The 17,008-nt window shown below is 43.8% G+C and overlaps 1 annotated feature.

Moving 5' to 3' along the window:
* Positions 6,292-7,015: an enhancer, noted in NCBI's record as "NANOG-H3K27ac hESC enhancer chrX:30771431-30772154 (GRCh37/hg19 assembly coordinates)". NCBI's record gives its function as "activates a minimal SCP1, AML or CMV promoter by ChIP-STARR-seq in primed H9 embryonic stem cells {active_cell/tissue: H9 hESC(primed)}" and the evidence as "EXISTENCE:reporter gene assay evidence [ECO:0000049][PMID:30033119]".

The raw sequence follows: 17,008 nt of genomic DNA, 5'->3' as shown, positions 1-17,008 counted from the left end.
CAATGTGTCTGTTTTTGTACCAGTACCATTCAGTTTTGGTTACTATAGCCCTGTAATATAGTCTGAAGTTGGGTAGTGTGATGCCTCCAGCTTTGTTCTTTTTGCGTAGGGTTGCCTTGGCTATTTGGGTTCTTTTTTGGTTCCATATAAATTTTAAAATAGGGTTTTTATCTAGTTCTGTGAAGAATGCCATTGGTAGTTTGAAAATAGCAATGAATCTATAAATTGCTTTGGGCAGTATAGCCATATTAATGATATTGATTCTTCTTATCTATGGGCATGGAATGATTTTCCATTTGTTTGTGTCATCTTTGATTTCATTGAACAGTGTTTTATAGTTCTCCTTATAGAGATCTTTCACCTCCCCGGTTAGCTGTATTCCTAGGTATTCTATTTGTGGCAGTTGTGAACAGGATTGCATACTTGATTTGGCTTTCAGCTTGACTGCTGTTGGTGTACAGGAATGCTAGTGATTTTTGTACATTGACTTTGTATCCCGAGACTTTGCTGAAGTTGCTTATCAGCTTAAAGAGCTTTCAGGCTGAGACTATGGGGTTTTCTAGATATAGAATCACGTCTGCAAACAGAGATACTTGACTTTCTCTTTACCGATTTGGATGCCATTTTTTTTTTTTTTTTTTTTTGAGACTGAGTCTCACTCTGTTGCCCAGGCTGGAGTACAGTGGCACAATCTCAGCTCACTGCAACATCCACCTCCCAGGTTCAAGCAATTCTCCTGCCTCAGCCTCCCAAGTAGCTGGGACTACAGGCGCATGCCACCACACCCGGCTAATTTTTTGTATTTTTAGTAGAGATGGAGTTTCACCATGTTAGCCAGGTTGGTCTCGAGCTCCTGACCTCGTGATCCACCCGCCTCGACCTCCCAAAGTGCTGGGATTACAAGCGTGAGCCGCCACGCCGGCCACCCTTTACCTTTTTCTCTTGTCTCAGTCATTGGCCAGGACTGCCAATACTATGTTGAACGGGAATGGTGCGAGAGGGCATCCTTTTCTTATGCCAGTTTTCAAGGGGAATGTTTCAAACTTTTGCCCATTCAGTGTCATAGCTGGGCTCTTATTATTTTGAGGTGTGTTCCTTCAATACCTAGTTTACTGAGAGTTTTTAACATGAAAGGGTGTTGAATTTTAACAAAAGCCTTTTCTGCATCTATTAAGATAATCATGTGATTTTTGTGTTTAGTTTTATGTGAAGAATCACATCTATTGACTTGTGTATGTTGAACCAACCTTGCGTCCCAGAGATAAAGCCCACTTGATCGTGAATAAGCTTTTTGATGTACTCCTGGATTCAGTTTGCTAATATTTTGTTGAAGACTTTTCCATTGATGTTCATAAAGGATACTGGCCTGAGGTTTTCTTTTTTTCTTGTGTCACTTCCAGATCTTAGTATCATGATGATGCTGGCCTCACAGAATTAGTTAGGGAGGAGTCCCTCCTCCTCAATTTTTAGGAGTAATTTCAGTAGGAATGGTACCAGCTCTTCTTTGTACATCTGGTAGAATCCAGCTGTGAATCTATCTGGTCCTAGGCCTTTTTTGGTTGGTAAGTTATTACTGATTCAATTTAGGAGCTTATTATTGGTCTGTTCAGGGATTCCATTTCTTCCTGGTTCAGTCTTGGGGGGATGTATATGTCCAGGAATTTATCCATTTCTTCCAGGTTTCCTAGTTTGTATGCATAAAGGTGTTCATAATATTCTCTGATGGTTATTTGTGTTTCTGTGGAGTCAGTGGTAATTACCTCCTCCCCCCACCGCTTATTTTTGAGACAGAGTATTGCTCTGTCACCCAGGCTAGAGTGCAGTGGCATGATCTTGGCTCACTGCAGCCTCTGCCTCCCAGGTTCAAGTGATTCTCGTGCCTCAGCCACCCAAGTAGCTGGGACTACTGGAATGCGCCGCCATGCCCCGGCTACTTTTTGTATTTTTAATAGAGACGGGGTTTCACAATGTTGCCCAGGCTGGTCTCAAACTCCTGGCCTCAAGTGATCCATCTGCCTTGGCCTCTCAAAATGCTGGGATTACAGGCATGAGCAGCCATACCTAGCCCTTGGTTAGTATTTTTCTTCAAGAATGTTGAATATAGGCCAGGCCCACACCTGTGATCCCAATACTTTGGGAGGCCGAGATAGGCAGATCACTGAAGTCCAGGAGTTCGAGACCAGCCTGGACAACATGGCGAGACCCGTCTCTACTAAAAATACAAAAATTAGCTGGGCATGGTAGCATACACCTGTAGTCCCACCTACTCAGGAGGCTGAGGTGGGAAGATCACCTGAGCCCAGGAGTTTGAGACTGCAGTGAGTTGAGATTGTGCCACTGAACTGCAGCCTGGGCAACAGAAGTGAGACACTGTCTCAAAAAAAAAGTTTTGAATATTGGCCCCCAATCTCTCTGGCTTGTAGGGTTTCTGAGAGGTCTGCTGTTAGTCTGATGGGTGACTTGGCTTTTCTTTCTAGCTGCCTTGAACATTTTTTCTTTTATTATGACCTTGGAGAATCTGATAATTATGTGTCTTGGGGATGATCTTGTGAAGTATCTTACTGGAGCTCTCTGTATTTCCTGAATTTGAATGCTGGTCTCTCTAGCTGGACTGGGAAGTCATCATGGATGATATCCTGAAATATGTTTTCCAAGGTGCTTACACTCTCCCCCTCTCTTTCAGAGACACAAACGCGTGGTACATTTGGTCTCTTTTTATAATCCCATATTTTCAGAGGTTTTGTTTGTTCCTTGTCATTCTCTTCTCTATTCTTGACTGTCTTATTTCAGAAAGCCAGTCTTTAAGCTCTGAGATTCTTTCCTTCACTTGGTCTATTCTGCTGTTAATACTTGCAATTGTGTTGGCCGGGCGTGGTGGCTCATGCTTGTAATCCCAGCACTTTGGGACGGCCAGACAGGTGGATTACTTGAGGCCAGGAGTTCAAGAACAACCTGGTCAACATGGTGAAACCCCATCTCTAACACAAAAGTTAGCTGGGCGTGGTGGTGCATACCTGTAATCACAGCTACTCAGGAGGCTGAGGCACAAGAATCGCTTGAGCCTGGGAGGCAGAGGTTGCAATTAGCCAAGATCACCCCGCTGCACTCCAGCCTGGATGACAGAGCAAGACCGTCTCAAGAAGAAGAAAAAAAAAATACTTGCAATTGCATTATAAAATTTTTGTGTTTTTCAGCTCTATTAGGTTATGTACTTTTATGTTCTGGCCATGTTCTCTGTCAGCTCCTGTACTGTTTTACTGTGATTCTTGGACTGGGTTCCCATGTACTCCTGCATCTCAATGATCTTTGTTCTTATCCATATTTTGAATTCTATTTCTGTCATTTCAGCCATCTCAGTCTGGTTAAGAACCCTTGCTGGAGAGGTGGTATAGCTCTTGATAACCCTGACGGTTTGATTGTGGTATAAGGTGAATTCAGTCAACTGGCTTCATTTCTAGAAGATTTTAGGGGCCATAGGTTCAGCTCCCAACTCCTAGACTGCATGCTCTAACTCTGGGGTACTGGTTTTGGGCCCCAACTTTGTTCTCTGGCACCTCGAAGTTAGGAACCCACTGTTCTGGGTTGTGGGGCTGAGGTACTCCCAGACCACTGTCACAACACTCTGATGGATGGTGCCAACCAAAGCGTTTCATAGGGTGGTGGCAGTGGGATCCATTCCCGTTCATACATGCCAGCAGCAGCGGAGCTGTGTGCACACTTGTTAGCTGCAGCAGGGTGCTAGCAGGTGCCAGACTACCAGCCTCTGTGTGGGCATTTGCAGCTGCAGTGGAACTAACATGGCTCCAGCGGGTGGAAGAACCCCCGCTGGCAACCATGTGCACAGGTTGAGATAGTGGTGGTGTTAGCATGGTGTTGGGGTACTGGCACGTGCAGGACTATGTGCTTTCTCTGTGCATGTTCACACAGGCAGAGGTAGCCGCTCAAGGTTGGGGAGGGTCCACTGTTCTCTGTGCCTAGTTTCAAGCGGGTGGCAGTGTCAGTGCAGGGGTTGGGTGCTGGCGGGGGACGGCACTGGTGGGCTCTGTGCCCATCAAGGCTCCCACTGCAATGGTGATACAGTAGGAGGAAAGGATTGGAGTGCACTCACTCCATCAGCAGTGGCAGGGCAGGGTGCATGTGCACACACATGCTGGTGGGGCAGGGAAGGCAAGATCTGCCCCTGCACACAGGAACTGCACTGGCAAAGCAATGTGGGGTTGGCTGGGCTGGTGCATGGCCCTGACGCCCTCCCTACTGGTCAAGCATAGTCTGCCAGTGCAGGAGCTATGATGTGGGCCCCCAGTGCACATGAGGCCTGCACCAAGTGGTACTCAGGTAGGACCAGCCCCATCTGATAAGCAAGACCATCCTACAGAGTTGAGATCTGACAGTTCTCCTAGGGCTAAAGTCTCCTACAGAATCAAGTTGAGCCTAGGAGGATGGACTTCACTGGCCATGCTCCACTACAGATGCTCCCCTGCCAAACCCTCTGGGCTCCACACCAGCTGAAGTGCTGCCCCTACTACTTCTCTAAGCAGATTTCCCGGCCAACTCAAGTTTCCGTGGTGGTCGAGTGGCCTCCTCCTGCCGGGATTCCAGAGGCCCAGGGCGAGATCAGGTTTCTCCTTGCCTGTTCAACTCACCCATTTCTCCAGAGTCGTTGGGGGCCAGGTATGAATCCCAGTGTGCAGTAGCTCCAGCTTCCTCCCACTTCAGCCCAGCTTCTGTATCTTCCCTCCTTCCAGTCTCAGTGCTTTCTCTCTGAAGATCAGCTAGGAGTATACCAGTTGTCCTGGTCCCTTGGTGGCAGCTGTTCTACCTGGCTGTGTTTAGCCAGCCATCTTCTTATTTTCTTGATACAGTAAACTGTGCAAGTAGGTTAGTACCTCCCACTGTAATTATGGGTTTGTCTATCCTCATATTTCTGTCAATTTTTGCTCTATATATTGGGGGTCTGTTATTAAGTACATAAGAGTTTGTTATAACTTCTTAGAAAACTGGAACTTACAATGGCCATTTAAAAAGGAGTCTTTGGTAAGGCTTTGCATTGTATTCTGCTGTGTTTAGATAGCTTGGCTCACAACTGGATTATAGGCTTTAATCGGAGAATATTTGCTATCTATCTTAACAAAATGATCTTTAGGAGGCTGCTCCTACCTCACTTCATCCATGTGCTTCTGGAACTGCTAACTGTAGTCTCTTCATCCCATTGTCACACTAAGTCTGAGGGGTGGGCACATGGCTCCGGTTGGGCCAAAGTTCTTCCCCAGACCTTTCTGGATTGCAGTTGGAAAGGAAGTCTTCCTTCTTCATTGGCCAGAACACAGTAGAGATGGGCACCCAGAGTTTTCAGGTCAGATACCATTTTCTGGGGAGGATTCTCTCCGATTCCGTCTGCTGTGAGAAAGATCACTGATGCCTCTGTGGCCATGAATCTAGCTCTAAAGCTGATAGGTTACATGAGAAACTTCTGCTCCACATTTCTCCCCCTTTAAGGTGGTTTGATCTATCCTTTGCAATACCCTAAATAACATGTTTTTAAGAGGATTTAGCTCTCCCTCTCCCTCTCTTTCCACAGTCTCCCTCTGATGCCGAGCCAAAGCTGGACTGTACTGCTGCCATCTCGGCTCACTGCAACCTCCCTGCCTGATTCTCCTGCCTCAGTCTGCCGAGTGCCTGCGATTGCAGGCGCGCGCCGCCACGCCTGTTTTTCGTATTTTTTTAGTGGAAACAGGGTTTCGCTGTGTTGGCTGGGCTGGTCTCCAGCTCCTAACCGCGAGTGATCCGCCAGCCTCGGCCTCCCGAGGTGCCGGGATTGCAGACGGAGTCTCGTTCACTCAGTGCTCAATGGTGCCCAGGCTGGGGTGCAGTGGTGTGATCTCGGCTCGCTACAACCTCCACCTCCCAGCCGCCTGCCTTGGCCTCCCAAAGTGCCGAGATTGCAGCCTCTGCCCAGCCACCACCCCGTCTGGGAAGTGAGGAGCGTCTCTGCCTGGCCGCCCATCGTCTCGGATGTGAGGAGCCCCTCTGCCTGGCTGCCCAGTCTGGAAAGTGAGGAGCGTCTCTGCCCGGCCGCCATCCTGTCTAGGAAGTGAGGAGCATCTCTGCCTGGCCGCCCATCGTCTGGGATGTGAGGAGCCCCTCTGCCCGGCTGCCCAGTCTGGAAAGTGAGGAGCGTCTCTGCCCGGCCGCCATCCCATCTAGGAAGTGAGGAGCGTCTCTGCCCGGCTGCGACCCCGTCTGGGAGGTGAGGAGCGTCTCTGCCCGGCCGCCCCGTCTGAGAAGTGAGGAGCCCCTCCACCCAGCAGCTGCCCCGTCCGGGAGGGAGGTGGGGGGGGGTCAGCCCCCTGCCCAGCCAGCCGCCCCGTCCGGGAGGTGAGGGGCGCCTCTGCCCGGCCGCCCCTACTGGGAAGTGAGGAGCCCCTCTGCCCGGCCACCACCCCGTCTGGGAGGTGTACTCAACAGCTCATTGAGAACGGGCCATGATGACAATGGCAGTTTTGTGGAATAGAAAGGGGGGAAAGGTGGGGAAAAGATTGAGAAATCGGATGGTTGCCATGTCTGTGTAGAAAGAGGTAGACATGGGAGACTTTTCATTTTGTTCTGTACTAAGAAAAATTCTTCTGCCTTGGGATCCTGTTGATCTATGACCTTACCCCCAACCCTGTGCTCTCTGAAACATGTGCTGTGTCCACTCAGGGTTAAATGGATTAAGGGCGGTGCAAGATGTGCTTTGTTAAACAGATGCTTGAAGGCAGCAGGCTCGTTAAGAGTCATCACCACTCCCTAATCTCAAGTACCCAGGGACACAAACACTGCGGAAGGCCGCAGGGTCCTCTGCCTAGGAAAACCAGAGACCTTTGTTCACTTGTTTATCTGCTGACCTTCCCTCCACTATTGTCCTATGACCCTGCCAAATCCCCCTCTGCAAGAAATACCCAAGAATGATCAATAAAAAATAAATAAAAATTAAAAAAAAAAAGAGGATTTAAATGTTCTCACCAGAAAACAGGATAAATATTTGTGAAGTACTTTAAATAGTGCTCTGGAATTTTGACCACAGAAGGTAGTATATTAGCCAATAGCTATCCTCATCATTATAATTTTCTAAAATGTTATTTGGAAAGAAAGTAGTGCTTTCCTGTTTGTAAGCATAAATATGCTTACAAGAATATTTTAAATATATGAATATACATAATTAGTACTTTTACAATATGCTGGGCAATGACTTAAACATATTTAGCCAAGAAGACAATTTTTGAACTAGGAGGGGAGGGACAGGTTACCAGAGGCTGGGGGCTGGCGGAATGGGGAGATGAGGTCAAAGGGTAAAAAGCCTCAATCAGGTAGGAGAAATAAGTTTGATTTTTTTTGAGAGCTACTGCACAGTGTGGTGATTATAGCTAACAACTGAGTACTGAACATTTCACTGACACTAAGAGTAAATCTCAAATGTTCTCATCACAAAAAACGTCAAAAATTTGAGGTGATGGGTAGGTTAGCTTGACTTAATTATTCCACATTGTATTTTTTTTTAAATCATACCATCAGTTTGTACTCTATAAATATATACAACTATAATTTGCCAATATATAAAAGAAGGAATGTACCTCAACATAACAAAGACCATATATGAGAAGTCCATAGCTAGCATACTGAATGTGGAAAAGTTGAAAGCTTTTTCTGTAAAATAAATAAATAAATCAGGAACAAGACAATGATGCCCATTCTTGTCACTTCTGTTCTACTTTTCTTGACTGGAAGTCCTAGTCAAGAAATAAAAGGCATTCAAATTGGAAAGGAAGTTAAATTGTCCCTGTTTGAAGACAACATCATTTTATATATAGAAAACCCCAAAGACTCTAAAGAATGGTTAGAACCAATAAATGAGTTTGGTAAAGTTGCAGAGTACTTATTTTTAAAAACTCAATAACAGGCTGGGCATGGTGGCTCATGCCTGTAATCCCAGCACTTTGGGGGGCAGAGGCGGGCAGATCATGAGGTCAAGAGTTCGAGACCAGCCTGACCAACATGGTGAAACCCCGTCTCTACTAAAAATACAAAAATTAGCCAGGTGTGGTGGCGTGTGCCTGTAATCCCAGCTACTCAGGAAGCTGAGGCAAGAGAATCACTTGAACCTGGGAGGGGAGGCTGCAGTGAGCTGAGATTGTGCCACTGCACTCCAGCCTGGGCGACAGAGCAAGACGTCGTCTCAAAAAAAAAAAAAAGAAAAAGAAAAAAAAGAAAAAGAAAAACTCAACAACAAAGAAAAATCAGCAGTGATTCTCTATACACTAACAATGAACTATCTGTAAAAGAAATCAAGAAGACAATCCCACTTACAATAGCATTAAAAAATAGTTGGGAATATATTAAACCAAAGGTCAAAGGTCTGTACAGAGAGAACTATAAAACATTGAAAGAGGCCAGGCATGGTGGCTCATGCCTGTAATCCCACCACTTTTGGAGGCTGACGTGGGAGGATCACTTGAAGCCAGAAGTTTGAGACCAGCCTGGGAAACATAGTAAGACCTGTTTCTAAAAAAAAAAAATTAAATAAAAACCACTAGCCAGGTGTGATGGTGCGTGCCTGTAGTCACACCTGCTTAAATGCTTAAACCCAGGAGTTGGTGGCTTCAGTGAGTCATGATTGTGTCACTACCTTCCAGCCTGGGAAACAGAGCAAGACTCTGCCTCAAAAAGAAAAAAAATTGAAGACACAAATAAATAGAATATTTTTCAGATTGGAAAAATAGTTAAGATGTCTGTACTACCCAAAACAATCTATAGATTCAATGCAATTTGCGTTGAATTAGATAGAAGGAGTTGAGCTTTTAATTTGTATTCCTATCAAAATTCCAATGTCTTTTTCACAAAAATAGAAATTATAAAATTCATAGGGAACCATGAAGACCCCAAACAGCCAAAGCAACCCTGAGCAAAAAGAACAATGCTGGAGGTATCACACTACCTGATTTCAAAATCTACTACACAAAGCTATTGTAACCAAAACATTATAGCACTGGCATAAACAGACACATAGATCAATGGAACAGAATAGAAACACCCAGCAGTAAACCCAGAATATATGGTCAACTAACTTTTGATAAGGGCACAAAGATGACACCATGGGGAAACAATAGTCTTTTCATTAAGTAACACAAGGAAAACTGGATATCCACGTGTAAAAGAATGAAACTGGACCCTTATGCCATACACGCATGAAAAAACCCACCCAACCCAAAATGTATTAAAAACCCAAACATAAAACCTGAAACCATAAAACTCAACACACAGGAAAAGAGTTTGACATGGGTCATAGCAATGATTTTTTTGGTTATGACATCAAAAGCACAGGCAACAAAAAAACTAAAGAAGTGGGATCACATCAAACAAAAAAGGCTTCTGAACAGCAAAGGAAACAGTTAACAAAATGAGAAGGCAATTTATAGGTTGGGAGAAAATATTTGCAAGCTACATATAATAAGGGGTTATCAACCAAAATATATAAAGAGCTCACCTAACTCAATAGCAAAAAAAAAAAAAAAAAAAAGATAAACTGGTTTAAAAATGGGCAAAGGACCTCAGTAAACATTTGTCCAAGAGGACATAAAAATAGCCAGTATGCTAATTATCAGGGAAATGTAAACCAAAATTATGAGATCATCTCACATCTGTTAGGATGGATTTTATCAAAAAAAAAACACAAGAAATTACAAATGTTAACAAGGGTACAGAGAAAAGGGAACACTAATACACTGTTGATGGGAAGGTAGATTAGTGCAGCCACTGTGGAAAACAATAGGGAGGTTTCTAAATAAATTAAAAGTAGAACTGGCCAAGGCACGGTGGCTCACACTTGTAATGACAGCACTTTCGAAGGCTGAGGTGAGAGGATCTCTTGTGGCCAGGAATTCGAGACCAGCCTGGGCAACACAGGGAGACTCCATCTCTCTCTCTCTTTTTTTTTTTTTTTTTTTTTTTGAGACAGAGTTTTCACTCTTGTCACCCAGGCTTAAGTACAATCTCTGCTCACTGCAACCTCTGCCTCCCGGGTTCAATCGATTCTCCTGTCTCAGCCTCCTGAGTACTTGGGATTACAGGGGCCTGCCACCACGCCCAGCGAATTTTTTTTTTTTTTTTTTTTTTTGTATTTTTAGTAGAGACAGGGTTTCAACATGTTGGCCAGGCTGGTCTTTAACTCCTTACCTCAAGTGATCTTCCCACCTTGACCTCCCAAAGTGCTGGGATTACAGGCGTGAGCCACTGCACCCGGCGGGAGACTCCATCTCTAAAAAAAGTTAAAAAGTTAGCCAGGCATGGTGGGGCGCACCTGCGGTCCCAGCTACTCTTGTGAGGCTGAGGACCACTTGAGCCCAGAAGGTCAAGGCCACAGTGAGCCGTGATTGTGCCACTGCCCTACAATGTGGGCGACAGAGCAAGACCCTGTCTCAAAACAAACAAACAAAAAAAGAAGTAACATATAACCCAGGAATCCCACTTCTGCACTCCTGGGTATATATCAAAAGGAATTGAAACCAATATGGCGAAGGGACAGCTGCAATCTCATGTTCATTGCAGCACTATTCACAACAGCCAAATATGAAAACAAATGTCTGTTGATAGATGAATGGATAATGAAATTGTGATATAAAGGAGTATTTTGGTACAATATGGTTCAGCCTTTAAAAAGAAGGAAATCCTACCATTTGTGACAACATGGATGAACCTGGAGAACATTATGATAAATGAAATAAACCAGACATAGAAAAAAAAATATATATATATACTGCATGATCTTATTTATGTGTGGAATTAAAAAAAAAAAATTCAATACATAGAAACAGAGGGTAGGCCGGGCGCGGGGTGGCTCACGCCTGTAATCCCAGCACTTTGGGAGGCCAAGGCGGGAGAATCACTTGAGGCCAGGATTCAAGACCAGCCTGGCCAACATGGTGAAACCCCGTCTCTACTAAAACTACAAAAAATTGGCCGGGCGTGGTGACCGGCGCCTGTAATCCCAGCTACTCTGGAGGCTGAGGCAGGGGAATCGCTTGAGGCAGGGGAATCGCTTGAACCAGGGAGGCAGAGGTTGTGGTGAGCCGAGATCGCGCCACTGCGCTCCAGCAAGGCTCTGTCTCAAAAAAAAAAAAAAAGAAAGAAAGAAAGAAACGGAGGGTAAAATGGCGGCAGCGGGGAGCATGGGGAAAAAAAGTGGGAGGAAGCACTTCAAAGGGTAAAAAAAAAAAAAAAAAAAAAAACAGTGGATTTGAACTCCTGTTTTGGTCAACATTTGACTTTTTAATTGCTTACCAGATATGAGCCTTTAAAATATCTTCATCTTTTATTTTGTGCTGACATCCATATACTTAGTTCTGGTTGTTCCTGAGGCCCAAGTACATCCAATCTTTCTTCTACTTAGCTCAGTCTCAGAACACACAGGGTCGTGCAACAAATTTTCTTTGTTTTAAGCTTTTAAAAAAAAAAAGCAGCTAAGTAGGTAGCTTTTACTGCGTCACTCCCTCCTTTACGACAGTGGCGTAAAACCAGCATTTATTATCTCCTGATAATGTGGGTCAGCTAGAGGACTCTGCGCTGGGCTGCCTTAGTTGATCTCACCTGCGCTAACTCATGCATTTGTGGTCAGCTGGCAGCTGGGTTGTCCAGAGGATGACCTCACTTATGGGCCGACAGGTGGTTGTCTATTGGCTGGGGTGCTGTGGAGGTGGGGGAGCCACGTTATTTCTTGTTTTCAGTAGGCCAGTTCGCCTTCTCCCCGCGGCAATTGCAGGATTCTGTTTGCTGCTAGAGAGGGCAAGCCTCAATGTGCAAGCACTTTTCAAGCTTCTGATTGCATCACATTTTTTAGTGTCCCATTGGCCAAAGCCAGCCACATGGTCAATCCAGGTGCAAAGGTTGGAGAAATAGACTACACCTTGGGAAGGGAGGAAAAGAATTTTGATAGTTTGCAATCTACTATAGCTAGTTCAATTTGGATTTCTGTCACTTGATCAACTACTGATAGAAGCTATTTAAAAATGGTTGAAGTGGGCCAGGCGCGGTGGCACAGGCCTGTAATCCCAGCACTTTGGAAGGCCGAGGTGGGCGGATCACCAGGTCAGGAGTTCGAGACCAACCTGGCCAATATGGTGAAACCCCGTCTCTACCAAAAATACAAAAATTAGCCGCGCGTGGTGGCCAGTGCCTGTAGTCCCAGCTACACGGGAGGCTGAGGCAGGAGAATTGCTTGAACCTGGGAGGCAGAGGTTGCAGTGAGCCGAGATCACACTACTGCACTCCAGCCTTGGTGAAAGAGCGAAACTCCGTCTCAAAAAAAAAAAAAAAAAAAAAAAAAAAAAAAAAAAACCAACCTGTTAAGGTGTTAGTGTGGAGTGATGTTTACAATCATATATCATTGCCACAGCAATCACTTACAACTAATCAGGCAAATTTTACGAGACATCTATTTCAAGTCTTTAAACCAACAGTAACTTCAAAGCAATCCCCTACTGGCATCCTACTGGCATTTCAGCTGGGTAATCCCATTTTTAAGGACTTTGGATAGGATATTTAATTAATGATCTCGGAGACACACATTGTATATATTTCTTCTTTGTCCTGAAACTACATCCTTTGCAAATCCAGTTGGTAATACTCCAAAGTGCTTTTCTGCTAGTAGGCTGAGGGACAGTTCTATAAATTCTCAGCTGTGGAAAAGACAATAACAGTTCCCTGTTGCAATAGCAAGCGGTTCTGATTACTTTGTCACACTTCATGTGAGTTTTACCAGAAATGCTGTAGGCTTAAACTGAAAACTCCTCCCAAAGTGGTACAAGTGGCTCCACATATATTTAATCTCCCAGCTCAATAAAACATTCCTATTTCCTGAAGCATTGATGCAGCCATCTGGAGCCCAAAATGACCAGACAAATGGGCAACATTGGTTACTATTGCTTCTCCTCAAGGAACATTAACTAAAATGTCCTTTTAAAGTAAAACATCTGGACCTATTTATCACTATTTAACAATGTGAAGGGGGTTGCTTCCTAAACAGAGTATTGCACTAAGATGCTAAGTATGCATCAAAAAAAACAAAATTCAAGGAGAGAATGACTACAAACATTTATCTTTCCCTAAGACTTAGAACTCTGTCAATGTCGTGTATGGCAAAAAGAAAAGAAAAATCCCCAAAAGTCTTTGAGTTTTCAAAATAAGGTTAAAACTTGCCACTAGATTAGATTCTACAGAAACATATGTAATTTAATGGACACTGAGCCATTCTCTGCCCCAAACACATGCACGCGTGGACGTGCGCACGCGCACACACACACACACACATACACACCCCTTACCAAATTCCTGAATGAATCTTGACTTTTCTTCTGAGAGAGACCTCCTTGGCTAGTCCCTGGTTCCTAAGAGATGATGGTTCTTGAAGGCTTTTAAGTAATGGAATGACATATCAGATTCATGTGTAGAAAACTCTGCTACAGTGGCAACATTGGGGCAGTTAGTTTTTGCTGAGTAGCAAAATGAACCCCAAACATAAAGCCTTAAAAAAAACAATCATTTTGTTGCTCATGATTCTGTGGGCAAAGCAAATCACATGGTCAAGCCCTGATTCAGTGCACTTGTGCACGTGGAAACCAATCAAAGGCATGGATACAGAGAGGTCTGACAAAATTGGGGCCCATCATTGCAGCAATCTATAGCAGAGGGTTTCATTGTATCACCTGTGGGTTACTTCAAACTTTGTGGGCAGATTTTCTGCAGCTTGGGTGACTTTTTAAACATCTGTGTACATTTGAGAGCTGATGAGGCTTTAAACAAGGTTAATAAGGGGGGCAATTAGGGGGACAGGCTAATATGTATGTTCTATTTTGATTTTTATTTATGTTTAGGAAAAGTTGACTATAGTTTGTGCTCATTTCTCTACTGGGAAGATGTTAGTGTCGTACAAACCTAGAAAATTCATCCTGTAGACTGTATAGAAATGTTAGGTAATTATGATCCCAAGGTATTGTCCTATAGAAACTCACCACTGTTTCCAGCTCTACATCCAGAGAGGTACCCATTTAAATTTACTTTTTGTTTGCAGATTAGTTTCGTATCTACACAAAGGAGGCCACTTAATTCAGGATTATTTCAAGTATAAAGGAAACAAATTCTTGTTCTCTTGCTGTCCATATTCCTATTTATCCCTTCAAAATTTCCTAGTTAGTTGTTCATTCTGAAAATACTTATTTGGCTTACTATGTGCAAGAAGCAATGCTACATGTCATGTAAGATATGGTTTCTTATTTTCCAGCCCCTCCTCATTCCAGGCTTATTCATTCATTCCGTATTCATTCAGCAAATATCTATTGAGTATGTTTTGTATGCCAAGTACTACAATTGCAACTCGCATATCAAACCATCCATTCCATCAACAAATACATACTGAGTGTCAGTTATGTGTCAGGCACTAGGCTTGACAGGTACAATGCCTGATATTAGAACTCTACGGGTGAGCAAAATTCAGCATTCTTTGCTTTCTAGAGTTTATACTGTAGTTGGGAATACAGACATCAATCTTATGATTATACAAACGTAAGTATATCCAATCAAAAAAAATGAGATAAAAGTACAAATAAAGGAGAAGAATATAACCTGGACCTGGGGGCCAGAAAAGGCTTCCCTGAGTAAGTGATGCCTGAGATGAGATGAGAAGGTGGGAAGGAGAGTGGGGAGCAAGAGGTGCAGAATCCAAGGCAAAAGCAACAGCACACAAAAAGGCTCTGTGGCAGGAGGAGCCACCACCCTTCAGCAGAACTGAAGGAAGGGCTGGAGGCTGGAGATGGGGAGCAGCATATCCTGGGAAGGGCTGTAGGTCCCAGGAAATAGAGCGGTTTTTATCCTAAGATAAATGAGAGTGAATGAAGGATCTTAAGTTGGGGGAGACGGCATGGTCAGATTTGCTTTTAAAATGATTGTTCTGACTGTTGCATGGAGAACAGATCTTCAAAGTGGGGCCAGGGTGGCTGCAGGGAGATGGGTTAAGAGGAATCCCTGGTTACTACTCCAGCTGAGAGCCTGGACTAGGATGGTGCCAGTGGACATGGAGAGAAGGAGTTCAGATGTATAGGAGATAAGAACAACAGACTTTGGTGATGGGTAGATGCAGGCTGAGGAAGGTGTCAAAGTTGACTCACATATCTCCCCAGATTTCAATCACATTTTGCAATCACCAGATTTCAATCACAGATTTCAATCCCCAGATTTCAATATTATCTTTATTAAGGTTTCTACCAACTTCTTAAAGGTAAAAACAAGCTGCACTTTCTTTTGGATAAGAATTGCAAAGGCATTCACATGAGGTCACTCACACAGTGTATCAGGTAGCTTTTACTGTATAATCACCCCCCAAGATGTAATGGTTTAAAACAACAATAATCTATTTGCTCACAATTCTGAGGCTTGCCAGTTTGGGCTGTGCTCAGATGGGTAGTCTGCTCCACACGATCTGCTCATCTTCCAGTAGGCTAGCCTGCTGATATGGTTTGGCTGTGTCCCCACCCAAATCTCACCTAGAATTGTAATAATTCCCACATGTCAAGGGTGGGGCCAGGTGAAGATAATTGAATCATGAGGCCAGTTTCCCCCATGCTGTTCTCATGGTAGTGAGTAAGTCTCATGAGATCTGATAGTTTTACAAAGGGCAGTTTCCTTACACATGCTCTCTTCTGCCTGCTGCCATGTAAGACATGCCTTTGCTTCTCCTTTGCCTTCCACCATGATTGTGAGGCCCCCCCACCCAGCCATGTGGAAATGTGAATCCATTAAACCTCTTACCTTTATAAATTACCCTGTTTTGGATATGTCTCTATTAGCAGCATGAGAACAGACTAATACACCTGCTCTCTTTTACATGATGGTATCAGAGCTCCAAAGACTAGTTAGCCCCAGAGTGCTGTCAGTTTCCCTGCTTTCATTTGCATCTCATTTACTGTTGTTCCATTGGGCAAAAGTCACATAGTGAAGCCCACAATCATTGTACAAGTGGACTACTTAAGGACACGGATATAGAAAGCTGTGACCAAATTTGAGATAATTACTGAAACAATCTGCCACATATGTTTTTATTGTTTTAACAGTGAATGACTTCAAAACTTGTAGGAGGATTTTCTACAATCCCAGTGATTTATTGACATTTATGTAGTCAATACATTAGCATATGCCCAACAATGATTTGACCTAGTGTTCTTGACCTGGTGTCTAGCTATGTTAACATTATTTGTGTTCTCAGTAGTCAAGACCAAAGCATAGAATTGACTGATGCTCAGTCATTCCATGGCTTTGATGCATTGATTCCCTAGCAGGTTCTCCAGCCACTGCAGTATCACTTCTTGTGGCTTTTGTGATTCTAATGAGAAAAAACTTTGAATTGTATTTTGGTCTGTCCAATGTCTTCTACTTGATTCAAAGTATTTCATGGACCACTATACATTTGCTTATGTAAGCTTTTCATTTTTAAAAAATGTCCTTTCTTTAGAACATTTAGAACAGATATAATTATTGTATCAGTCAGCTATTGGTAAGTAATGACAAAATGCAACGTTTCTATGGTATACAGCAATAAACATTGATTTTGCTTACGTGTCTGTGGGTCAGCTGGGGGGTCTGATGGTTTAAGCTGGATTTTCATTAGCTCCATGTGTCTCTCATCATCCTTGATTCAGAGGGTTAGGCAAGGCACTTCTCGTGATGATGCAGGGGCACCAGAAGACACACTCAACTGCACAGGCATTTTTGAAGCCTCTGCTTGTGGCACATCTGTTAACATTCCACTGGCCCAACATGTAGCCAAGTTTGAAGTTAAGATGTGGTGAAATAGAGTCCTTCCACAGAAGTAGAGGAGAGGGATGGAGTATTTTTGCACAATAATTTATCATATTGACTTTGACAGTGAGCTAATAAGGGTTTTTTCAATAATGACTTGTCTTTTCAATCTACTGGCCACACTGAGTTC

This window comes from Homo sapiens, chromosome X (assembly GCF_000001405.40).
Source record: "Homo sapiens chromosome X, GRCh38.p14 Primary Assembly".
In the NCBI taxonomy this organism is placed as follows: Eukaryota; Metazoa; Chordata; class Mammalia; order Primates; family Hominidae; genus Homo; species Homo sapiens.
Note: the sequence above shows the minus strand (reverse complement) of the source record. Positions and strands in the feature narration are given on the sequence as shown.